Raw genomic sequence first — 25,361 nt, 5'->3', positions numbered from 1 at the left:
TCAAGGCCACACACTCATAATTAGGGGAGACGGAATTTGAGCGCAGGCTGCCTGCTTCCAGAGAAAGCTTGCTAAAGCGCATTGCTTTACAGCCTCCTGTGGCTGCAGAGATTCTCAAAGCGCTTACCCTCTGCCACACCTGGCTGGCTCTTCGATCTCACCATCCTCTTCATGGAATGTAAGATGTCAGCGTGACCTATAGGAGAGAGGTCTGGGAAAGGGAAAAAAAATTTGCACTTTTTGAGCACCTGTCCTTATTTAAGAAATGGTTTGGAGCCATGGAATGCTCGGACACTGTTCAGCAAAGGCAGAAAGAAAACACAGCAAGTTGTCTGAATCCTGAAATCATCATACTGGTCCTTTAAAGGGGCAGTTCCAGGGCTGCTTCTGATCCTGGCTGGCATGGTTTTTGGCTTCTCTTTTTCTAAAGATTGCACAGTATCAAACAGGGGCTGGGAGGGTGGAGAGTGTTCATCGTCTGAACTGTGGGACAGTTGACTCCATGTTTCCTGGACCTGCCAATGAGTGAGGTCAAATAACCCACCTCTCTGATGTGAATGAATAAGAAGTGCTCTGAGCCCCATGGAGAAGAGAGAAGGAGCTCCAGCTCAGCCCCTCTTCTGACCCACTATCCTGCCTCACTCCCGTAACGTTCCGGCCCTCATTGTGCCACCTTAACTTCTCTCCTGGATGACTATAGTAGCTGCCACGTTCCTGTCCTGCCTGTCCTCTCTCCTCCATCCTGCACACTGCTACCCGAGTAACCCTGTGAGGCCGCTGGTAGAATGCACGAAGCTGGAACTTAAGAGTCTGGCAACCTCTCTGGTTCTTATTCTGACTCCCTTGTCTGTACAATGGGCATAGGGGTAGGGGAATGTTCAATTCAAAATTTCTATAATTCTATGGTTTTTCTCCCTTCTTCCAAAAACCTTTAGTAGTCTCATTGCTTTTAGTGTTGAGTATAAACACTTCATTCTGACATCAAAGACTTTACATAATGTCATTCACAGCTCTTCCTCTACTCACCCCCAGATACTCGGTAGGGAACCTGAATTACTTCATGCGCCCAAAACATGTCCCATGCTTCTTTCTAATTCTATGCTTTTGTTTATGATAATCCCCCCACCAAAACTGCCTCCTTATTTCCTGCCACTGCAGATCAAAATCATGTTCATTCCCCAAGTCTCACCTCAAATGCCACTTCCTCCATACACCTGTCCATGGTTTCACCAGCTGAATATACTTTTTTTCTTTTGAGTAGTCTATTTGACCTTTGAATCCCAATAGCCTTCCTCTTATGCTACTTTGTATTATGGTGTTCCAAATGCTTATCTAACACCCCATTAGAATGGAAGCTCCATGAAGGCAGGGACAGTGTCTCATTCACCTGTGAACCATGTTCAGTACCTTGCATAAACACTTGTGAACTATTTGTTAAGAGATAATTGGATTTTTGAAGTATTTGAAATCTTTAAGGTCAAGAGAGGTGAAAAATTTGGAAGATCACTAACCTTTGACTGCGGGATAACCCAATAGTGAGGAGCCCAGTTTTAATTCAGCTTGCTTTGAGCTTCCTTGTCTATTAATGCAAATAGGACCAGTCCTATTTTTAAAAAATTCACAAAGAACATTACAGGGATAGGGACCAGATAATATATTTGTCATACAAATTTATTTTGTATATCGTGTGTGCTAGTACCAGATTAAAAATAGACTTACCTGTTGAAACTTCTGCCAGCACGGGGAAGGAGCCTGGTTTCGCAGAAAGTGAGTTTGAAGAAGGCATGAATGCATAGTCCATTGGTCTGTAAGATAACGACAGGTCTCAGTAGGATTCCATGTCCTACCCTTATCTTCCCACTTTAATGGTGATGGTCATAATAACGATATATTCCCTGTAGGCTTATATCTAGTCATATCCTATTTTTGTCTTGTGCTTATCTGGGCAGGGTACACATGAGTATTATTTCATGAATGCATCTAGTGATGATGGATATTTTTTAAAGGTAGAGTCAAAGATTGCCAGAACTGGAGGAAAACTAAGAGACTGTTTAAATCAATCGTTCTTAAAATTTTGAGTCCCAGACCCTTTGTAGAATCTGATGAAAATCACAAAACCAACTTCTTAGAAAAAGACATGTATACATCAAATTTGCCAATAATATTTAAGACCTCATTGAGACCTCCTGATACTTTTCCTTGGAACCCAAGTTAATCTTTCATCTAAATCTATGCCTTCTTTTAAGATGAAGAAGAAACCAAAGTTCAGAGAGGTTTGGCTAAGGTTATACAGCTAGCTCAGTAGAAGGGCCAAGACTGGAACCCGAATTCCATGATCCTATTACACATTTTTGAAATAGAAAAATGTCTCTCCTTCCTTTTCAGCTCATGTACTTAAGCTTCAAGATCACAGCTGCTCTTGTGATGCTTCAGTTAAGTGAGCTAAATGCTGAATAATTGGCATTGGTTTTTATTATATGAGAAATTGCCTGAAAAATCAGGCAGGCGTCATAACATTTCAATTTTGCCAACGTAACTGGAAGTCCTAGGAACTCTGCAGTGTCATGTATGTCTGGTGTATTCAGGAGAAAGGAATTAATACTCAAAGTCCCAAAGATGTGGGTGTATGTGTACAAGGAACAGGACTGGAAATCAATAGCTTTAGCTCCTTAATCATTTCTTCTGGGTGAGCCTAGGAAAATCATACCACTCTGAGCCTTAGTTTTCTCCTTTGTAAAATGAAAATATGAGATTAAGGTTATCTCTAAGTTTCCTTATACCAGTAACATTCTCTGAATTTTTTTTAATTCTGAGAATTTTCTGGCTGGTCCAGATGTGGTTGTCATCAGGAACAGATGGGTGTTACCCTGCTTATTGATTTTTTCAGGCACTGTTCACTCATGGCAATTGGTAGCACATGATGATAAACCAAGAAGGGTCAACGAACTAATTGGAAGAAAACAGTAGTAATCTCCATCCTGGAACTGCCCTGCGGCACTGTTAGCCATGGAGCACCATTCAGGTTCAGGGTGATGGCCCGATCCCCCCACCCAGGAAGTTCAGTAACTGAAATACTCACCAAAAGGACCTCATCTTAAGCAGGGTTACCTACAGAACAGCCTCAAGCATGGACACCTAGGATAGACTTCAGTGCAGAGGGGCTACGGTATAAAACTATTTGTAAGCAGGAGCTTTGTTTTTTTTTTTTTTTTTTTTTTGAGACAGAGTCTTGTTCTGTCACCTAGGCTAGAGTGCAGTGGCACAGTCTCCACTCACTGCAACCCCTGCCTTCCGAGTTCAAGCGATTCTCCTGCCTCAGCCTCCTGAGTAGCTGGGATTACAGGCACCCACCATCACGCCCAGCTAATTTTTTGTATTTTTAATAGAGATGGGGTTTCACCATGTTTGCCAGGCTGGTCTCAAACTCCTGACCCCAAGTGATCATCGGCCTCCCAATGGGCTGGGATTACAGGCATTAGCCACCGTGCCTGGCCATTTTCTTCTACTTTTAAAATTAAGGCAAAATGTGCATATAAAGCATACCTAGTAAATGTACAGCTTAATGGATTCCTTGCCTAGATTTGAACTTGTGGTTGGATTTTGAAATATGAGATGTATATATTACCAGCCCACTTGTAGTACTCTGACAGGGGATTATATGGGCAGGAATATTATGACAGTATAATTAATTTCTAACATTTGTACAAGGTTTAGTAGTTTACGAAGTATATTAACATACCTTATCTCACCTCAAATCACTCTTTGAGAGTAAGTATTATTATTACTCCATTTCACAGATACATAAATGGAGGCTCAGAGAAGTAAAGTGAGCTTCTTTCTCTAGAATACACTGCGAGTAAACAGCTGAGCTAGGACACCAACCCAGGACTTTGGATTCCAAAAACCATGTGTTTTCCACTTACCAGGAGACACATGGTTATTCTGAAATCAAGGCTCTGTGTTACTGAGAAGAGTGGATCAGGCTGAAGCAGAGGCTTCATCTTTAAACCCCAAAGTGGAAAGTTCTGCTAAACATTTATTACCCATCCCCTTCCCCCACTCCATTCCAATGGTTAAGAAATGTGTTTGGATGACTATTGTTTATAACTGAGAACTACTTCTACACACATCATGTATGGATTACTAGTGTTCCTTCTAATACGTCAGAAGACCCTTCTAGTGTCCAAGAGGTCAGATGCTTTGGGGTCAGATGCATGAGCTTCCCTTGCTGACACTATCCTGAGACTGTGGATGATGAGGTTTATGGATTGGGTATGACTCACCTCATATGTTGCTTTTTCTGCTTAAAGTCCTGTTTTCAGCACCTCTGACTTACTTGTTTCCTAAAGAAAAAATGCAAACCATAGCTTCCTCCCCTTCAAGTTCTGGTTATCTGGATGTCTGGATACTGGAAAAATAAAAGTTTATTTCCTTTGGCACCACACAGACCAAAATGGGGGAGAAAGCCGAGATGAAACCTTTATTTTGTTAGCAGCAGTCGGTTGGGTCACTGTGTGTGGAGCCTCAGCCAAAGCCTGGCGGTGAGAAGACTGAATGCTCCTTTGTTTCAACAGCAGGCAGGGGAGAAAGCTGTTTCCTTTGTGCCCATACTGAGAAGAGAAAATGGGCAACTATCTTCAGAATAGTCCCTCAGTGGGTGTGGAATATTGGGGGTTTTTGTAAAGAGCGGCAGCAAGGGGGATGTGGAAAGTTCAGGTCACGAACGGTGGCAGAGGAGAAGAAAGGAGAGGAGGAGGAGGAGGAAGAAGAGGAGGAAGAGGAGGAGGAAGAGGAGGAGGAAGAGGAGGAGGAAGGCACAGAGACTGTAGGGGATGAAAAAGCCAAGCTAAGCTGACCTCCTGGTGTTTACAGAGCAGCCTCTGAGCGCGTTCTATTTCACGGATGGCGGGAGCAGCTCAGTGATGTCCCTTTTAAGATCTTCTTTAGGGCTTACATCCAAGCTGTAACATTTCCTACTTCAGGCACACGCTGTCTCACACAAAACAATTACAGAGCGGGTGCGCCTGCTAGAGTTCGGGCCCCTAGCTGGGCTCTGAGACCCCGATCGTACAAAAGGCACCCTTTCTACCTTCTAAGAATTCAGCTCAGTGGGAGAGACGTATTCACGAACAAGGAATGTCAGATACATGAGGAGGCTATTTTGGAGGAAAGTACCAAGGATTCTAGCAGTCCCAAAGAGGAAGCTGCTTCATTATGTGCTGGCTGCTGTGTATTTCTTCTCATGCAGGTCTTCGGGGACTGTGTCTGATATTCCTGTGCCCCTCACAGCACTTGCTCATTATTGAGATCACGCTAAATAAGCAGTTGGTGGGTTGATGGATCACCCATCAGCGTCAGAAATGAGTAGAATTAATCAGTGCATCCTTGGCATTCAGCCAGGAGCTTCCTGGAGAGATTGAGACTCCCAATGTCCTTGCCTATTGAAGGTTATGGTCTCATTCTTCATCACAACCTGCCAGTGACACAGTTACCTCTAAGTCCTCATCTCTCATGGGATGTTTTCTAAAAAAAAGAAAGAAAAAAAATGTATCTGTGAATTTGGATCTCTTAATTAAGAATGGCCATCTACTCACCCCAGGTTTGTATCTTATTACTCCACAGGGAAAATGAATAGGATCAAGCCAAAGAGGAATTTTTCTGTTCCAGGAGAAATTCACTGTACTAAGCAGAGACTCAGCCCCAGTGTAGTCATACTTCTTTTCTTGGTAGGGGAGGAAAGAGGGAAAAATGAAATCCCTGAGAGAGAAATTGCTTTGTGACTTCATTGTTTAAATATAGGCTTGGGTTTGTGGGGATCGTTCAGACTTAGAGCAATAAGCCTTCTAACCCAACCTCTGTCACTTCTCATTACTTCCAATGACAGTTCCAATTATTTCCAATCACTCTTCAAGGGAACAGCAGGGAAGGCGCACACGGCTTCCATGTAGACCAGCCATGGAGCAACCGCTGTAAGAATTGGCCCCTGGGCTCCCCAGACCCTGCTGGAAGCCAGGCTTGTCTACTTGAAAATTGTGTGACCTTGGGCAAGTTACTTCACCTCCCCAACCTTAGGTTTCTCATCAGCCACTGCATCTAGTAACAATGTCATAGAGGTTTTTTTGTGAAAATTACATGAGGTGATGCGTAAGAGTTTTAACGCTCTGCTTGGTACGTAATAAATAGTAAATGAATGTCTGTTGTTATTATCATGAGTTTCCTTTCTGGGGGAGGGTCAGTTCATGGGTATCTGGAGGGTCTGCTTGAAGTCAGCGACCACCAGGCCATCAGCACCAGCATTTGGGGCTTTGGCCACTGTGGTTCCTCACCCTATAGGTGAGTCCCTAGTGTCCTTTAGGGAATATTGCCCTGCTCCAGGTCCACAACAGGCTCACAGATTCTGGCCAGGCTCTGGCTCATGCCTGTAATCCTAGCACTTTGGGAGGCCGAGGCGGGTGGATCACTGGAGGTCAGGAGTTCAAAACCAGCCTGGCCAACATGGCGAAACCCTGTCTCTACTAAAAATATAAAAATGAGCCTGGTGTGGTGACGCACGCCTGTAATCCCAGCTACTCGGGAGCTTGAGGCAGGAGAATCATTCAAACCTGGGAGGCGGAGATTGCAGCAGTGAGTTGAGATCACGCCACTGCATTCCAGCCTCTGGGTGACAGAGTGAGACACCATCTCAAAAAAAAAAAAAAGCTCACAAATTGTGCCCCAACTCTCCACAGCTACTCTGGGAGAGCAACTTTTTGTGTTATTTAGCCCTAGGCAAGAGGTGCCCTTCTACGCTGCTTGGCATATCACAGCTGTGAGTCTTCTTTTCCTGGGTTCTACCCTCTTGACTCATGCCCCCGAGTGCCTGTGCCAACTTAGGCTGCCCCAGCCTGGGCTTATAACTGGTTGGTTCGTTTCTGCTTTCAGTGTTAAGTAATGTTTAACTGAGCAAGTACTATGGACTAGGCATTGTGCTAGGGACTTCCAGACAAGTAATTTCTTATATTCTTAAACAACCTGTGAGATTGGTATTATTGTCCCTATATTACAGGATACAAAAGTGAGACATAAGAGGTAAGGTATTCCATCCTAGGCTGTACAGCTTGAATAGAGCAAAACAGCAGACGCGAGCAGAGTTTGCCCTCTTCAGCACTGATCTGGGAAGTAGGCATGACGAGGCAGCCAGGTCACATAGGTACAGTGACACACAGACAGACAGGAGGCCACTGAGAGGCCTGGCCTGTGGGAGCTGCAAGTTCCTCACCCCCAGTTTCCAGGCAGTCATTTGTCCTGATCAAAATTAAACTCCAATGAGCCCTACACCCAAATACAAGATGTGTTGAATTATGTTTGCTTTTTAAATAGGAGGAAAGGAAAACCTCAAGGTGAGAAGAAAAATCTGTTTGTTTTTTTCTTCCCACTGACCTGAACAGCAAAGTGCGATTTTTTCTCCTCATTAAAGAGGGCTAAACTGGTGTCCCAGATTCCTGCGAGCCTAGAATTCCCACTCAGAATGAAGTCCTGGGCCAGGCAGGCAGAGTCCGGGTTTTCAGCGGAGGCCTGGTACCCATCTGCCTTCCCCTGGGGGAGCTCTACCCGACTCCACTCCCACCAATAGGGAAGGGCAGCCGGCTCCCGCCTTGCCTCCGCTCCATCCCCAGGGAGGGGAGGCCGGAAACGAGGCCACCTCTCCGCAGCCTCCTTCTCTGCTCCACTGCCTCTCACACCCTGTTCCCGGAGTCCTGCAGCTTCCCAAGCCCTGAGGAATGCAGGTGACCGTCCCCACATGCTGCTGCCTCAGCCTGACCTTCCTCCTGCTCTCTCTCTCTCTCTCTCTCCCCTGGCGCCAAATTGGCCTGCCCTCAGATCTGGCACTTAACAAGACAGACAGACAGAGAACAAAGACCAGCGTGAACTCCGTCAAGCTCATCTTTCATGTATTGCCCCTTTTCCTCTCTCCCTCCCTCCCCAACTCTCCCAAATTCTCACTGCACAACCTCTGCGAGGCACCCACTCCTGAAAGCCTTTGCTCTCCTCAGCCTAAGCTAATAGTGGTGCTTTGTCCCCTGGTCCCCCACCCTGTTCTTGAAGACCTCCACGCTGTTACCTTCCATCCCCTGTGACCAGCCACCTCTTCACCACTTCTACCCTGACCAGCTCCCTCCCATCCGCCGCCTCATCTACAGAGGCTTTCCTGACTCTCCAGACACAGAGCTGTGCTCGCCCCTCTCAGCCCCGAGAGCACCTTGTCCACACCTTTAGAATAGTTTGTGGCATGTTATGGTACAGTTTGGGGTTCTCTGTCTTTCCTGGTGACTGTGAGCAGGGAACAGTGTCGTATTGTCAGGAATACCAAGCCCGGTGAGCGGCTGGCACATGTTAGATTCCTGCCAAATGAATGAATGAGGGAACAAACAAATGTATGAATGCATGTAAAATCCCGTTCCAGGAGAAGGTTGGCTGATTCACTTTTCACTTAGTAATTTTTAGGACATGTGGCCTCTCCTTTCAGCTTTAGTTTGAACTTTAGCCTTATTAGTGGTCAAAGCCCTCCCAGCAATGTTGACTGACTCCTTCTCTGGCCCTTTTAGGTCCTCTGCAGAGAATGGCAAGAGTCGTGTATGGGCTCTGAGCCAATTCAGGAGCTCCTTCCGTGGTGCATGGAGTTTAAGGCCCTCTTCCTCTCCTTTCCTCTTTTGCTTCCGCCTCGCCAGGTTCACCCTGTTCATCACTAACCTTGCCTGGGTATCACTGAGGCAGCATGAGCAGAAGAAACACAAGTCAGCTAATGAGCACAGAAAATTTTGGTGGGATTTTAAAAATATTATTTCGGCTGGGCACGGTGGCTCATGCTTGTAATTCCTGCATTTGGGAGGCCGAGGCGGCAGGATCCCCTGAGGTCAGGGAGTTCGAGACCAGCCTGGCCAACATGGTGAAACCCCATCTCTACTAAAAATACAAAAATTAGCCTGGCGTGGTGGCACGTGCCTGTAGTCCCAGCTACTCAGGAGGCTGAGGCAGAATAATCACTTGAACCCGGGAGGCAGAGGTTGCAGTGAGCTGAGATCACACCACTGCACTCCAGCCTGGGCGACAAAGCGAAATTAATCAAAAAAAGTAATAATTAATTAATTAAAATATGATTTCTAGGCTAAGTGCTTATCCCTATGTTAGCACATTTAATCTTCAAGATAACATTATGAGACAGATGACAGCCTTCATTTTGCAGATGAGGATCAGAGAGGTTAAGAAATTTTTCTGGTGTTACCACAGCCAGTTAGTCAAATCAAAACTCGAAGCCAGGTCTTCTGGCTCCTGAATCATTACTCATCCTACTGCCCCACATGACCAGGAGCCCCATTATGAGTGGCAGCCACACCCCACCGCACTCAGCAGGGCTCTGTGCTGGCTTATGGCTTCTGTGTTTCATCCCCACCCCAGCACATCGGGTGGGCAGTCAGTGAGCTTTCCCTGAAAGATGGTTGCCAGGTAAGGCTGTCTTCTCTGGGAAGATTTGAGATTTGAGATTTGTTTCACGCATACAGTGACCAAGCATCCTGTTTGCCCATGTCCTGTGGGTTCCTCAGGACATGGAATGCAGGATTCTCAGTGCTAAAACTGGGACAGTCCCAAGAAAGCCATTTAATTGGTCACCCTAGTAGTAGAGTATCTTGCTACTCAAAGAGTGACCCTCAGGCCAGGTGCAGTGGCTCACACTTGTAATTCCAGCACTTTGGGAGGCCGAGGTAGGTGAATCACTTGAGGTCAGGAGTTCGAGACCAGTCTGGCCAACATAGTGAAACCCTGTCTTTACTAAAAATACAAAAATTAGCCAGGCATGATGGTGGGTGCCTGTAATCCCAGCTACTCAGGAGGCTGAGGCAGGAAAATCACTTGAACCCGGGAGATGGAGGTTGCAGTGAGCCGAGATCCCGCCACTGCACTCTAGCCTGGGCAACAGAGCAAGACTCTGTCAAACAAACAAACAACAGCAAAAAAAGTGACCCTCAGACTAGCAGCAGTGGTTTCACCAGGGAGCTTGTTGGAAATGCAGAATCTCAGACCCACTAACTCCAGACCCACTGAACCAGAATGCACATTTTAGCAAGATCCCCATGGAAGGGGAAAAACATTATAGAAGAGCAAGTACTGAAGGCACATTTGACAGAAGTTATGGAAATGAAGATTCATACCTGAATCATCTGACCTGAGAGAGGTGACATCCTCACTTTTCTAAGCTTGCATTTTATATGTTATGGCTTTGCTATATACCTCAGGTGATGCACATTGGCACAAAAGACTTAGGTTTATAAACTGAGGAAGAAAGGAGTTAAGGGTCCACATTCAGTCCAAATGGAATGAAAGGCTGGAGGGTGCGTGAGTGCTGGGTGAGGGTGTGTGGGCATTGAGTTATTTCACGGTTAAGCCTTTCTTGCGTCTTTGAAATGATGATGTTCTTACGAAGGCCTTGGAGTTTTCTGGATTCACTGGCCTACACCCTTTTGCCGAGGTCGGGCTGGAGTGTCACAGTGGACAGCAAATAAACCAGACTGTGTGTGAGGACAGCAGTAGCCTGTGTTCTTGGGCCTGAGGATTCAGAAAGGGAAATAAACGCCCAGAGGGTAAAGCATATAATAGGAACCACGCTTGGTGAAGAGTAGACCCTCAGTAGTTATAATTGAAGAAATAATTAGGCCACCAAAGAGGTATTCCAAGACTACATGTTTTCCTGTTTGATGCCTGGCTCTGAATCTAGGTCTCATTTTCACCCTGTCCAAGGAGAGATCAGAAGGGAAAATTTGTAGGTCCCTTCCCTGCTGCAAGAGTCTAACCCAGATTTGGAAATGAGTTATTCATGGTTCCCCAGCCTGTCCTACCCTGTGGTGATGACCTCGCTCGGATGGAAACAGAAGTGATGGAATCTGTGCTCCAGGTGAGAAAGTGGTTGGCCAGCTCTTCGCAGGATGCTTCACCAGCTTCTCTAGGGTCTTGGCTTATCTCAAAGCAAACTTGGGTCAGAGCAGTTGTTCGGTCTTTTAAATCGGTGCTGTGTGTCATCCTGGGTCAAAGTCACTGTAAAAGTCTTTTAAATGGGTGCTGAGTGTCATCTTTTGTTAATGTTTTGCTCTAAAACCAGACTGTCAGATGTTAAAATAGCAGGCACCAAGCAAGGTAGGAAAAGACATTTGTATTTCTAGGATTGCGGAGCAGCCTTGAACTAAAAGAAGCATAACCCACATTTGTCGACTTTCTCTCTATTCCAAGTCACATGCCCAGTAGGGAGCCCAAAATAAGGGCAGCCCAGGGGAGGGAATGACAGGCAGGCCTGGAAATGAATGTGTTCATCCGTTCAGTTCGAGCTGTTTCAGACAAAGCTGATTTCTGCTGTGATATTAATCCCACCCAGACAACAAGAAATCGAACTGTCACTTTTCTCAGAATGGGGTGAAATGTTTCTGACCTAGGTTTGGTTTTATAACAATTTCTTCTGTGTGTATTGTTTTCCCTGGGATCTCAAAGGGCTAGCTGGGGGTGGATCTTAGAGGAAAACACAGATTTCACTTACAGGGCAACTCCCTTGCCTGGTACTGTGAGTGGAGATAGTGCCGTACAAGACCCGAGAGCCTGGTCGGGGAGCAGATTGACAAAGGAGAGAAACTGGGGAACAAAGTAGGACGGAATGGAATTCATTGCCAAAATGTTTGGTAGAGATAATAAGTGAAACAAAAGTTTTGGGAAAAGATAGTAAGGGAGATGGAAGAACTTAACTTCAGCTCACAGTGGAGCAAGAATATCTACCATGAGGCGAAAGCAATCGCTTGAGGGCATTGCATTGGGGTGAGCCAGGGCAGGAGCTGCAGAGAGCCTGGGACCTAGGAAGAGAGCAGGAGAAAAGACATGTGGGGATGAGGTGGAGACAGTTGTGAAATTGTTCAGTCTCACTCTGGAAAGAGAACACATTCATAGTTTATAGGCCAATTTGGAGACCTTCTCAGGCTGTGTGGCGGTGTTGGGAAGTGACTGAGCAACTCACCTCTGGGTCTCAGTTTTCACCCTGCTGGAAGATAGACTGGAAGGGAGAAGGTGTAGGTTCCCTCTCTGCTATAGAGGTCACGCTGTGTGGTATTCATTTGTGGGGAGCCATAGACTGGATTGCGCATTGTTCTTTCCCCTGCAGGCAGCATGAGCTGATGCTCTTGACACTGAGGTTGGAGGCAGAGACCCTCTCACATGCACACACCCCGGGCCCCCAGTCTGCTTGCTGCTGCTGGCTCTGCCCCCAGTGCTTTCCTATCACTAAGAATAGAGACCTTCTCTCCAGGCATCCAGCTTCCCACACAGTCTGACTCTGCCCAAGCCTCTGCCCTTGAAGATGCCAAAGTGGTTTCTGTCTCAGAGTCTTTGCGCTTGTTTTTCCCTTGCCCAGGAATGCTCTTTCCCCAGATGGCTGCAAGGCTGGCTCCTTGCCTTTCAGGTTTCAGTGCAAACACCACCTCAGTGAGCGCTTTCCTGAAACCCTCTCTCACCCCTGCCCCAGCTAACCAGGGACTCTGCCTAGTCACTATCACTTTGCCTTGTTATATTTTCTCCCTAACACTTATCAGTGTCTTTTTTTTTTTTTTTTACTCCTATGCATTTCTGTTTTTGTCTGTTCAGGCTGCTTAACAAATTACTGTAGACTGGGTGACTTATAAACAACAGAAATGTATTCCTCACAGTTCTGGAGGTTGGGAAGTCCAAGAGCAAGGCACAACAGGTTAGGTGTCTGGTGAGGGCCTGCTTCCTCGTTCATAGAGAGCCACGTGGTGGAAGGGGTAAGGGAGCTCTCTGGGGCTTCGTTTCTAAGGCTCTGCTCTCATGACCTAATCAGTCCCCAAGGCCCCACCTCCAAATACCAGCACCTTGAGGGTTAGGATTTCAACATATGAGCTTTGTGGGAAACACACACATTAGACCGAATGTGCCAATGTACTTGTTTACTGCCTGTCTCTGCAATAGCCAAGACTTCGTCTATATCATTTACTTCATTTACTTCTGGGTCCTTGGTGCTTAGGACAGTGCCTGACACAGAGATGCTCATGTACTCACTGAAGGTGACACAGCTGGTAAGCAATGAAGCCTGAATTTGAATCCAGGCAGTCTGACTTTAGAGCTGGCTCCATAAGTTAATGTTATTCAAGCCATCTAAGCCCCTGCTTCTCAGTTTTAGAATTTACCTGGGGATCTTGTTTAAAAATGCAAGTTCTGATTTAAGTCTAGGGTGAGGCCTAGGACTCTGAATTTCCAATAAGTTCCTAGCCAGTGTTACTGGTCCATGGAAAATGCCTCTCAGGAAGAAAGGGAGGGAGGGAAGGAGAGAAACAGAGGCTCAGAGAAGTTAGGGTGGACTTTCCTTAAACTATAAAGCTAGTTGGTGGCAGAGTTGGGACTCCAGCCAAGGGGCCTGGCTCCCAGCCCAAAGCTCTTTGAACCCCCGGCAAGCCCAAGGATTTTAAGGCATACTTACATCTTGTATTGGTAATTGCAAAGGGGGCCCAGGACACTGGCCTCTGCCCCCTGCGGATCACTGGTACTTGGTTGCCACTGGCCCTTCCCACTACAGGGCACAACAGTTCTTGTTTTGAGAGACAAGAGTGGTTTCCCCAGAATTTCCAAACCCCCTCCTAGCACAAACACAGGTATATAATCTCCACTCTCTCTGCCTCATGAACAAGACCCCTCTAGCGGCTCTAGGGTTTGCCATTACAGTATTTGTTATAATGAGTGTCAGCTCATTTGTGTGGACTCCACCCTTCCCCAGGCTTCCTTGTTCCTTTCTTTCTGACACAAGAGATGAGAGCTAGACCTGTTGGAAACTTTTACAAATCTCTCTATCCCGCCTCCACCCAATAGAAATCCCTTTCTGAAAGATGATCATGCATCCTCCATTTGAGCAAACAACAGGAAGCTCAATACTTGCAAAGCCCTTTCCACTCTCAGGCAGCTCCTTCCATGAGAAAGGACTTTCTCCTCTGAACTGGAGTTTCCCTTCCTGGCATCTTCCACCAACCGAGGTAACAAATATTAGTAATGGCCATAACTGCCTTACAAGTAAAGGGTCCTCCAATTTATAAAGCGATGTTTTAAAAACATTTATCAGGCTGGGTGTAGTGGCTCATGTTTGCTAATCCCAGCACTTTGGGAGGCTGAGGCAGGAGGATTGCTTGAGGCCAGGAGTTGGAGACCAGCCTGAGCAACATAGGGAGACACAATCCCTAAAAAAACACTTTTTAAATTTATCTGTAACAGACACTGTGCTAGACGTTTTCATATATGTGAACCTCATGTAATACAACCACACCCTGAAGTACAAAGCACCAATCCTCATTCTACCAATACGTAAACTGAGGCTCAGAGGATTTAAATGACTTGCCCAAAGATAGAGGCCCTGTAAGCTTCAGAGGCCATGTCCTAAGACACCACAGCCACACATCCTCCTGCTACTCAAAAACCCTTTAAATAGAGAGAGTCCTTTCATTTGCATCTCCCATCCTGCTCTTCTCTTTTACAAATGTAACACTCCTATCCCTTTAACCTTCCTTTCTAGTTGTCACAATAATGCTAACCATCATGAATGGAGGTCATGTTATGTCCCAGGCACTCAATATGTAGACTAAGTTAATCTCCATAACAACCATCAAATAACTCCATTTTATAGATGAGCAAACTGCTGAAACTCAGAGAAGCAATTTGTCCAATGGCACTCAATTAGTGACTGTCAAAAAGCTAGGATTCAGCTTGGGTGTCTTTGCGAAAATGAGAAAAATGCTAGAGTGAAGGAATGGAATGAAGGCAATGGGAATCCAAGTGAGGAATGATGCACACTTGGATATTCTCCCATTTAAACCATCTTTCTGGTGATGGCACACTTGACCTCTCCTACAGAATGACTTAGCACAAAAGGAGGCTCTTCAGGGGAGTCTAATCTGGGCAGAGGAGTAGAGCCTGAGCTATGGAGGCCATTGCTCTATGGAGGTCATTTGACACCAATTCTAAGTACACTTTTTAAAAACAAGATTTGGCCCAGGCACCATGGCTCATGCCTGTAATACCAGCACTTTGGGAGGCTGAGGCGGGTGGATCACCTGAGGTCAGGAGTTCGAGACCAGCCTGGCCAACATGGTGACACCCATCTCTACTAAAAATACAAAAAAAATTAGCCCAGCATAGTGGCACGTGCCTGTAATCCCAGCTCCTCTGGAGGCCGAGGTAGAAGTATCGCTTGAACCCGGGAGGCGGAGGTTGCAGTGAGCCGAGATCGTGCCACTGCACTCCAGACTCCAGCCTGGGCAACAGAGTGAGACCCCGTGTTAAAAATAATAAAATAATTAAATAAAAATAAATAAAAACAAGATTTTTTGGGATATAATTAACATACAATGAACTGCACATATTTAAACTATATAATTGGTTGAGTTTCATATATGCCCATGAAACATCACCACAATCAAGATGTTTTAAACATGTGTCATAAACCCAAAAAGGATGGCATCTCAAGGCTGGGCACAGTGGCTCATGCCTGCAATCTCAGCTATAGTCCAGACTGTATAGAACCTGTCATCCTCCCTTTGCTTCTGGATTCCCATACAACTTTGTAGTTTGATGATTTGTTTTGATCTTGAGGCCCAGAATCCATGTTTACAGCCCTGTTTGGCTTCTTCAGATTCCCATGAACCCCTCATGTGAGTTCAAGAATAAATTTACCATTAAGTCCTTGGGGCTGAAAGATGACGTAAATGTAACCCAAACGTGTTGGTCCTCCAGCTGAGGGTTCCTGATTCAGCAAGGATGAAGTGACCCACCAGAGCCTCCAAGAAGATGCTCAGGAGACAGGAGGCACAGGGCCAATGTCCACTCCCCACCCTCCCATCTGCTTCCTATTGCCTCATTTTTGCTTCCTAAGACCGCACCTCCCAAATACACACTGCATCAAAGGAGCAAAAACACCCCAAAGCAGTGAGGATTTTGAGGGAAGGGCTCTGAATTCAGACAGAAGCCTGCTCTAGGACTGCCTCTAAATGGCCTAAGTACCATCTTTACCCTAAGACTGTCTATATTCCCCTCCATCAAATTAATCTCTGTCTACTCTAAGCTCTCATGAACTTTCTGTTATGGCAACAATCACCCGCACCTGCTACCCTTCAAAATGTGATGATTCACACGTATTCTTTCACTTTCTAGACCATAAGCTCTCTGTAGGCATGGTGCTGATCTGATTCTTCTTTGCATCCTCTGTAGTGGCTAACATGTGGTACTCAGTGGGTACTTGTTGAATGGACAAGTGAATGACCCACTTTGTCCTAAACCTCAAGGCAGGACTTAGAGCTGAGCATAGCACTACCCTTGTGTCTGTCACACCACATGCCACATATAAAGTATTAGTATATGACACCCAAAATGGTGATTCTCTGTGTGTAATATAAATAGAACCAGGGAGATGCATACACTGTCTCCTTCACATGCACTGTTAACTCCAAGCAAAGGTAAGGCTTGGCCTGACAGATTGTCACTGGTAAGGCTGCTTCTGGGGTCAGATATAGCTCCCACCTCCAACAGCCCCAGCTGGTGCTAAGGAGCCAGGAGAGAACAGGCATTCAAAGTGAGAGGGAATAGTTACCAGCATGGGGGTGGAATCTCAGCAACTAGGGTCCCACTGGCTCAGTCTCAACCTTCAAAGGAAGCCTGTGGAGTAGTGGTGCCTGCGGGCCACCAGCCTACCATTTCCCTTCCAGAGATACTCATTCCTTGAACAAAACGCCCAAATGGTTAAGCTTCCTTGGGTCACTCAAAGAGGAATCTTTATACATCAAAGTGTGATTTCAAATACAGACATGCCTAAATGAGTGTTTCTCAATTTTTTTTTTATTTCAGGAACTAGTGTAATTTCAAAAATAAACTTGGGCACAAAATCAGGGGCTCACTTTTAGAATATTATTGACTATAGTTTTAAACCAAAATACAAACTACCATCCTGCTGTTAAAATTATTCCTAAAAAGAAGCAGAATTTCAAAAACAAAGATAAAAAGGCAGTTGGCAACCATTCATGGACAGCTCTCTGTTTCCAATAGCTAACACTTAGTGAGTGCTAAATGTACACTAGACACTATTCTAAGTATTTTAATAACACCTTATTTTATACACATGCAGATTACATCATCTATATTTTTTCTTACTCCCCTGTGAGGCAATGAAAATGTCAAGGACCAGTGGCCTAAGTTTACACTCTAGTGCTAGGGAATGGCTAGCATTTGGTAACTAACTAAAATAAGATTTCTTGAGGCAACTCACAGCTGCAGGAGTCAAAACTTCTATGAATCTTCAAGTTTCCACCTGATGCAAAGGCCAGGATGTGATCTTTCAGAGTGAGCTCTTTCTATGCAGGATCTAGATGACAAACATCTTCCTCTCAAGTTTCTTCAATATATGGAACCCATTGAGTTGACACGGAGACTCATAAGCTTGCAGCCTTTGTCAACCAATGCAATGCCTCAAATAAATAATAATTGAGCCAAAGCTAAAATACTTCAAACTGTATTTTTGCATAAAAGATAAAGGAAAAGCAAGCTGGGCGTGGTGACTCACACCTGTAGTCCCAACTACTCAGGAGGCTGAGGAGGGAGGATCTCTTGAGCCCGTCAGCCTGGGTGATATAGTGAGACCTTGTGATATTCTTTGGCTCTGTGTCCTCACTCAAATCTCATCTCAATTTGTAATCCCCACCTGTCAAGGGAGGGACCCGTAATCCCCACATGTTGAGGGAGGAAGGTGACTGGATCATGGGGTGGTTCCCCCCATGCTGTTCTCATGATAGTGAGTGAGTTCTCGTGAGATCTGTTGGTCTTATAAGTGTTTAGAAGTTCCTTCTTTGCTCTTCTCTCTCTTGCTGCCTTGTGAAGGTGTCTGCTTCCCCTTCCACCGTGATTATTAGTTTCCTGAGGCCTCCCCAGCTACGCAGAACTGTCAATTAAACCTTTCTTTATAAATTACCCAGTCTCAGGGAAGTTCTTTATAGCAGTGTGAAAATGGACTAATACACCCCGTCTCTTAAAAAAAATTTTTTTTAATAAGTCAGGCATGGTGGTGCAGGCCCACAGTCCCGGCTACTAGAGAGACAGAGGCAGGAGGATCACTTGATCTCAGGAGTTTAAGGCTGCACCAAACCGTGATTGCATCACCATACTCCAGCTGGCGTGACAGAACGAGATCTTGTCTCTAAAACACCAAAGAAAAGCTACCACTTTTGCAATAGAGAGCCCCTTTCCCCTCTTTCCTTGCCTCTGCTTCCAAAATACAGGCATTAACATTCCACTAGTATGTTTCACAATGAGCACACACCAGATGGCTTTAATCCAGGGAAGGAATGCTGGGTTGAGTAACAGGGTGATGAATTAAATAACCCTTAGATAACCATTTAAAAAATCCTAAGTGCTTCCTAATTTCTAGATTAAAGAAAATTCATGGGGCCTTAAAAAAGAGAGAATATAAAGGACATTAGGTTGCCACCTCTAGACAGAAGGGCCTTTAGAAGATGGATAGACCAGCAAGGTCAGCCATTGCAAAAGTCTCCCCAGAGACCAGACACATCTTCCAAAGGAGGAAGGAGGCAGCAAGTGGGCAAGTGGGAGGCTCTTTTATTTATTTTTTCAGTGCTTAACAAAACAACTCAAGGAGACCCAATGTCAGGCCTAGATATGAAATATTATATTTTGGGAGATAGAGCTTTAGTGTCCAGATGGAAGAGAAGCTGGATTCAGGATAGGATGTCGCCTAGTCCAGATGATCTTTGCCTATGCCATCCCTTCCCATTAACCATCTTGTTTCCCTGAATAAGAAGGAAGGAAACAATCAGAATTTCCTATTATACATAGTATGAAACAGAACACTTTTAAGCTATTTCCTGTTCCCAAAAGAACTGATGTGGAGGGAGATATGAGGTAGCACAGTGCAGTAGAAGGAGCATGTAATTACGTGTAGGAAGAGCTTGCTCTGAAGGACAATGTCTTGGCCTCTATGTAAGGTGGAAAGGTTAAGGTTAAACTTAAGAAGTTTAAATTTCTAAGCCTGGAATTTTTATTTTTTGTTTTATTAAAAAAAATTTTTTTTGAAACAGGGTCCCACCTGTTGCCCAGGCTGGAATGCAGTAGCGAGATCACAGCTCACTGCTGCCTCAACTTCCCAGACTCAGGTGGTCCTCCCACCTCAGCCTCCCAAGTAGCTGGGACTACAGGTATGCACCACCATGCCCAGCTAATTTTTTGGATTTCTTGTAGAGATGAGATTTCACCATATTGCCCAGGCTGGTCTCGAACTCCTGAGCTCAAGCGATCCACCCACTTTGATCTCCCAAACTGTTGAGATTACAGGTCTGATCCACAGCACTCAGCCCAGGCCTGGAATTTTTTTTTGATGTGGTGAAGGAGTGCGGCATCCTGGACAGAGCTGTTATTTATCAGCTCTGTGATCTTAGGCAAGTCACTTATTCCTGAGCTTCAGTTTCCTCATCTGCAAAACAAGGACACTAACTCCCATTTTACAGAGGAGGATGAGGCTCTTAGAGGTTAAGAAATGTGGCCAAAGTCACAAACTAGTATATACCTTATTGCCAAGCCTGTGCTCTTTTCCTTAATCACCCCAAACCTCAAGATGAGATCATATGCATTAAAATATTTTGTAATGAGCCAGGCACTATGCAGTCATTCCCTTGTGGTTATTACACGCAGACTTCCATCTGGCATGTATAAAAAGGAATGTCGGCCCACATCTACATGTGTCCATGAATGCATTCATGTAAGACTGTGTGTTACAAATAGAAGTCACTTTGTGGTCTGACTGGCTTGAGAATACTTTTGGAATAACAGGATAGAACAGGGACTCTCCAAGAAAACCCAGGCTATGTGCTGGCTCCAGCCATAAAACAGTCTCATATCATGGGAAATTACACATGCTGTCATATCAGCACTGCAGCTGGCACTGGCTTGTTCCCAACAGGGGATCTTACCTACCATCCTGTCCCAGAACCGAGCTCTTTGTAAGAGATTAAAGCAAACCATATCTGCTTTTACTAATAATTGTTCTAGAGAAGTCTAGGAAAAGAGGATGTTAACCTTGAGAGTGAAGCTCTGGGTTTGTATCTAAGGGTGCAAGGTGTGACATCTCATGCATCCTGAAAAGGTGTCATGCAAAATGGTGACAAGGAAAATACTATGGCCCTTATAGAAACATCCCTCTGGAAGTGCTCATACATTATTAGTGGGGTGCAAACAGCACAAACCTCTTTAAAAAACATTTAAAAGTCAGCTTCAGGAATTTTAAAACCATTCATAGCCTTGGCCCAATAATTCCATTGTTAGAAATCTATGCTAAGGACATAATAAAATACAATGTAAAAAAATGTTTATTGGCTGGATGTGGTGGCTCACACCTGTAATCCTAGCACTTTGGGAGGCCAAGGCAGGTGGATCACTTGAGCCCAAGAGTTTGAGACCAGCCTGGGCAACACGGCTAAAACCTGTCTCTACAAAATAATTAACAAAAAATTAGCCAAGTATAGTGGCTCACGACTATAGTCCCAGCTACATGGGAGGCCGAGATGGGAGGATCACCTGAGCTCAAGAGGTTGAGGCTGCAGTGAGCCAAGGTGGTGCCATTGCACTACAGCCTGGATGACTGAGAGAGGCCCTGTCTAAAAAAAAGCAAATAAATAAACAATAAAAGTTTATTGCAACATAAACACTGGCACAAATTAACATCTCAAAATAAGAAAGTGGCTAAGTAGGCTGGGTGCGGTGGCTCAAGCCTGTAATCCCAGCACTTAGGGAGATCGAGGCAGGTGGATCACAAGGTCAGGAGATCGAGACCATCCTGGCTAACATAGTGAAACACCGTCTCTACTAAAAACACAAAAAATTAGCCAGGCGTGGTGGTGGGTGCCTGTAGTCTCAGCTACTCGGGAGGCTGAGGCAGGAGAATCACTTGACCCCAGGAGGCACCTGGGCAACAGAGCGAGACTCCATCTCAAGAAAAATAAAATAGAAAGAAAGTGGCTAAGTAAATTAGGATTCATGAATCTATATAATCAAATATAACACTGCTCGTAAAACAGATGACAAAGAAATTTTATGACTTGGATAAATGCTCATAATATAATGTTGAGTAAAAAAAAAATACAGAATTGTATATACAGTATAGTAAAATCTCTACAGTGAATATGTATAAATGCTTAGAAAACAGCCTGGAAGGAAATCTGCACTGAAATGTTAAGAGCCAACACAGATGATTGTTATTTTCTTCATTATTTTTGTCCTTATTATCCAAGTTTTGTATAACAAGTATGTATAACTTCTATTTTTAAAGTATTACTTTAAACATCTAAATGTCTAAGTGCCACTCGTCCTTAAATGGCTTTCTCTCTTGCTTGAATTAGTACGACAGTCTTCCAACAGGCCGAGCGCGGTGGCTCATGCCTGCAATCCCAGCACTTTGGGAGACCGAGGAAGGCGGATCGCTTGAGGCCAGGAGTTCGAGACCAGCCTGGCCAACATGGTGAAACCCTGTCTCTACTAAAAAACAAAAATTGGCCGGCTGTGTTGGCACGCACCTGTTAATCCCAGCTACTCGGAAGGCTGAGGCAAGGGAATTGCTTGAACCCAAGAGGTGGAAGTCGCAGTGAGCTAAGATCACACCACTGCACTCCAGCCTGGGTGACAGAGCTAGACTCCGTCTCAAAAAAAAAAAAAAGAAAAGAAAAGAAAAGAAAAAAAAAAATCTTAGGGAATAGTCTCCCAAATACCCTCCCTTCTCCAGTCCCACTCCCTTTCCAGCCTGCTGTCTCCAAGGTTACCTTCTGTGGACTCTAAGGGACCAGCTAGCCCTTAGCTTAATGCAGACTTTGTCTACTTGGTGTCTTTAAACTAGGAGAACCCTTTAGACTCCCTGGTGTGACTTGCTGTTCCCCACACAGGCCAGACCCTTTCAGATCTTCTGGTCTTCATGCTTGTTCTTCCCTCTACTTAGAATGACACCCTTTCCCCATTTTTCTACCTGGGAAATGCTTACTTGGCATTTAAGGCCAAGCTCAGAGGTTAGCCCCTCTGGGAAACCTTGCCCGTCAACCCCAAGCAGAGCTGGTTGCTTTTTGCTGTGGTCCCCAGAGACCTTGCTCATACCCTGGTTTTAACAAATATCATAATATGTTGTGATAAATGTATTCGAACGTCTCCCCACATAAGATCATATGATCCTAAGGATGAAGTCTTGAGACTCATTCGTCTTGGTTTGCCCAGTGCCTGGCACAGAGTCCTCGCCCCGTGATGAACAGATAAAGAAACTGGTTATTAAGCTGTGACCAAGGAGGCAGCAGGGAGTATTAATGCCAGCAAACAGTCTTTATAGGATGACAACGAGCTGATCTTCATGCCTCACAGCAGCAAGAAAAAGCAGGCTTCGGCTGGGCGTGGTGGCTCACGCCTGTAATCCCAGCACATTGGGAGGCCGAGCGGGGTGGATCACTTGAGCTCAGTAGTTCGAGACCAGCTTGGCCAACATGGTGAAACCCCATCTGTACTAAAAATACCAAAAATTAGCCAGATGTGGTGGCCTGCGCGTATAGTACCAGCTACTCCGGAGGCAGAGGCAGGAGAATCACTTGATCCTGGGAGGTGGAGGTTGCAGTGAGCCAAGATCGTGCCACCTCACTCCAGCTTGGGCAACAGAGTGAGACTCCATTTCAAAAAAAAAAAAAAAGCAGGTTTCATGTGCAACACAACACTTAAGTTAGCCAAAAGGAGGAACTTCCACAGATCGTTATTGAGGACTAAACTCTGACCTGTTTTCTTCTCTTTCCCAAATTACTACCTAAGAGGCCTGGGGAGTTTGCCCTACAAACCATGAAGTCTCATCAGAGGGATTTGATTTAACCCTGTATAATGTGGCCTGCTTTCCAACCTGACTCGGGCACATCACATAACAAATAAGGAAGGAAATGAAAATATTTTAACCCCAAATATATTTCCTTGCCAGATCTTGAAATTGCCCTACAAAGTCATCTCTTGGGGTTAAAAGTCTACATTCTATAGAGAATTTCCTTTTCCTCTTCCAGACCCTTTTCCTGATCAAAGAGAGAATCCACTAAAAGTCTGGCACCTTTTTAAGTCTGATAAGAAATTTACAATCAATTGTCTCTGAAGCCGTACCTGGAGACTTTATCTGCATAATAAGAACCTTGGTCTTTACAACCCCTTAACTCAGACACTTCTATTGATTGCAGGTCTTTAGATAAACTCTTTCAACCAACTGCCAATCAGAAAAATTTTAAATCTACCTATAACTTGGAGGCACCGCCCACAAACCCCCCAACACCGGCTTCCTCTGCTTCGAGTTGTCCCACCTTTCTGGACCAAACCAATGTACATCTTAAATGTATCCTAAAATGATAAAACCAAGCTGTGCCCCTACAACCTTGAGCATATGTTGTCAGGGTCTCCTGAGAGCTGTGTTATGGGCCATGGTCACTCTTATTTGGTTCAGAATATGTTTCTTCAAATGTTTTACAAAGTTTGACTCTCTTTATTGACACTATGATTGCAATGGATGAAAAATGGGGTAAGAGGGAAGTCTTAGGAGTGGAGTAAAAACCTCCCTATCTAAGAGGGGTTGGACACTGTCCTTCTTGGAGACTGGAAGATGGACAAGATGACCTCAGTCAGACCTAGGCTCAGTGTCTTGTCCAAGGAAGCAGGGTGGAAGCTTTCTCCTGGAGCCCACGGTGATTCTGCCGTAGGCCTGGGCAGGTTTCCATGTCAGCTGCGCTAAAAAAACCCAGATCTGCAATTTGAACCTGAAGCCTTGCAGACAAAGAAGACTGTGTGAAGAGTAGGCCCAGTTACTTGCAAACCCAGCAGGGCTCTTGGCTCCTCAATGCTCATTAGCATCTTAAGTTCACATAAATATATATGAGGCTTGTGGATTCCTCTGGGAATCCCAGAGGCCCTCAGAGCCAAAGCAAAATCTCTTCCTCTTTGCACCTCCTCCTGGACATTTGGAGCCCAGCTGCTTTGGGGAGCCCAGCTGCCTCCAGGGATTCCCCAGCAGGGACCTGACACCTCATTTTCAGAGTGCAAAAATAGACACTTGGTCTTTTGAGGGACCAGAGCTTTGTTCTGTCCCTCCCTCTCTTATGGTGGTCTTTCATATTCATGGGTCCCTGAAGAGCAGGGTTTCCCCACTACCCTCTCATATGCCCCAATCCTGAGTGAATGCTTGGATGCCGCACGTTCTGTGCAAAGCCGGGAGTAGATGCTGCATAACCCAGGGAGGGCAGGTGCAAGAGCGTTGAGGGGAATGAGACCCAGAACATTTTATTCTTAAAGGACTCCTAATCTAATGCAATATGCAAAATAGAGAAGGAACAGCAGAAAGTATACACTTAAGATGCAGCATCCACCTCACATAATCAGCAGCATTTGAACCTTGTAAATTCCACAGAGATGAGGCAGGACAAGAAAGAGTTGCTGCTGGATCCGATTGCAGAGGACTTCTTGGAGGAGGTGGCTTTTGACAAGAAAAGGATGGGTTTTGGAGGGTTCTGACTATTGGTCAGGGTTAGCCGACCCTGTCCTACCCGGCTCCCAGGGGACACTGCAAGGCAATTGAGTGGCAAGGAGAAAAGCAGCCCCAAGGCTTCCTCATTCCCCGTGAATATCCCTGCCTCATTCCCAACTAACTTGCCCAACTATCTCAGTTATTTCCAAATCTGGAAGGAAGAGAGGGCTTTCAGAGAAAAGCCACAAAAAGAAGACAGTGGAATCCAGATGTAGATAGGAAGAACCAGGGGGGGCAGCTGCCCTAGATGCTGTCTGGTCAAAGCTGGAGTGCCGTGGCCCCAGCTCTGGGGTGTAACGCTGCAGCCCTAGCCCTGCCCTGGCCAGATACATGGCCTTCCCTCTGCAGCCTGCTTTGTGGAAAAAGCATAGGTACCACTTAGTGGACCTGGGGTGGGGGTGGGGGGACAGGCAGTGAATAAACGTGGAAAAGGAAATGATGGTGGCAGATGTTTAACCCCAATCATGCTTTTCAGCTCAGATTCTTAGGACAGGATTTCCCCGGTCCCAATTCCTTTGTTGACCATGGCAGGCTGGCATCCCTCCGTCAGTTTAAGAACAAGCTTTCAGCTTCTGGAAATATCGTTCATGCTAAGTAGCCTGTCTGTCTGTCTGTCTGTCTGTCTGTCTTTCCTTCCTGGGCTTGATAAGAGAGACTGCACTCTCTCCATTTGCTTCTCAGGAACTCAACAATCCTCCCTCATCCACACAAGCTTCCTTCTGGACAG

At 45.4% G+C, this 25,361-nt stretch overlaps 1 protein-coding gene across 1 annotated transcript in view, besides 4 other annotated features; it reads left to right on the top strand.

Moving 5' to 3' along the window:
• Positions 1–25,361, top strand: part of CLMP (CXADR like cell adhesion molecule) — a 125,377-nt gene that overhangs the window by 2,029 nt on the left and 97,987 nt on the right. The window lies entirely within an intron of this gene.
• Positions 11,640–12,139: an enhancer, noted in NCBI's record as "H3K27ac hESC enhancer chr11:123051789-123052288 (GRCh37/hg19 assembly coordinates)". NCBI's record gives its function as "activates a minimal SCP1, AML or CMV promoter by ChIP-STARR-seq in primed H9 embryonic stem cells {active_cell/tissue: H9 hESC(primed)}" and the evidence as "EXISTENCE:reporter gene assay evidence [ECO:0000049][PMID:30033119]".
• Positions 12,140–12,641: an enhancer, noted in NCBI's record as "H3K27ac hESC enhancer chr11:123051287-123051788 (GRCh37/hg19 assembly coordinates)". NCBI's record gives its function as "activates a minimal SCP1, AML or CMV promoter by ChIP-STARR-seq in primed H9 embryonic stem cells {active_cell/tissue: H9 hESC(primed)}" and the evidence as "EXISTENCE:reporter gene assay evidence [ECO:0000049][PMID:30033119]".
• Positions 23,524–24,356: an enhancer, noted in NCBI's record as "NANOG-H3K27ac hESC enhancer chr11:123039572-123040404 (GRCh37/hg19 assembly coordinates)". NCBI's record gives its function as "activates a minimal SCP1, AML or CMV promoter by ChIP-STARR-seq in primed H9 embryonic stem cells {active_cell/tissue: H9 hESC(primed)}" and the evidence as "EXISTENCE:reporter gene assay evidence [ECO:0000049][PMID:30033119]".
• Positions 24,391–25,087: an enhancer, noted in NCBI's record as "H3K4me1 hESC enhancer chr11:123038841-123039537 (GRCh37/hg19 assembly coordinates)". NCBI's record gives its function as "activates a minimal SCP1, AML or CMV promoter by ChIP-STARR-seq in primed H9 embryonic stem cells {active_cell/tissue: H9 hESC(primed)}" and the evidence as "EXISTENCE:reporter gene assay evidence [ECO:0000049][PMID:30033119]".

This window comes from Homo sapiens, chromosome 11 (assembly GCF_000001405.40).
Source record: "Homo sapiens chromosome 11, GRCh38.p14 Primary Assembly".
Lineage (NCBI taxonomy): Eukaryota > Metazoa > Chordata > Mammalia > Primates > Hominidae > Homo > Homo sapiens.
Note: the sequence above shows the minus strand (reverse complement) of the source record. Positions and strands in the feature narration are given on the sequence as shown.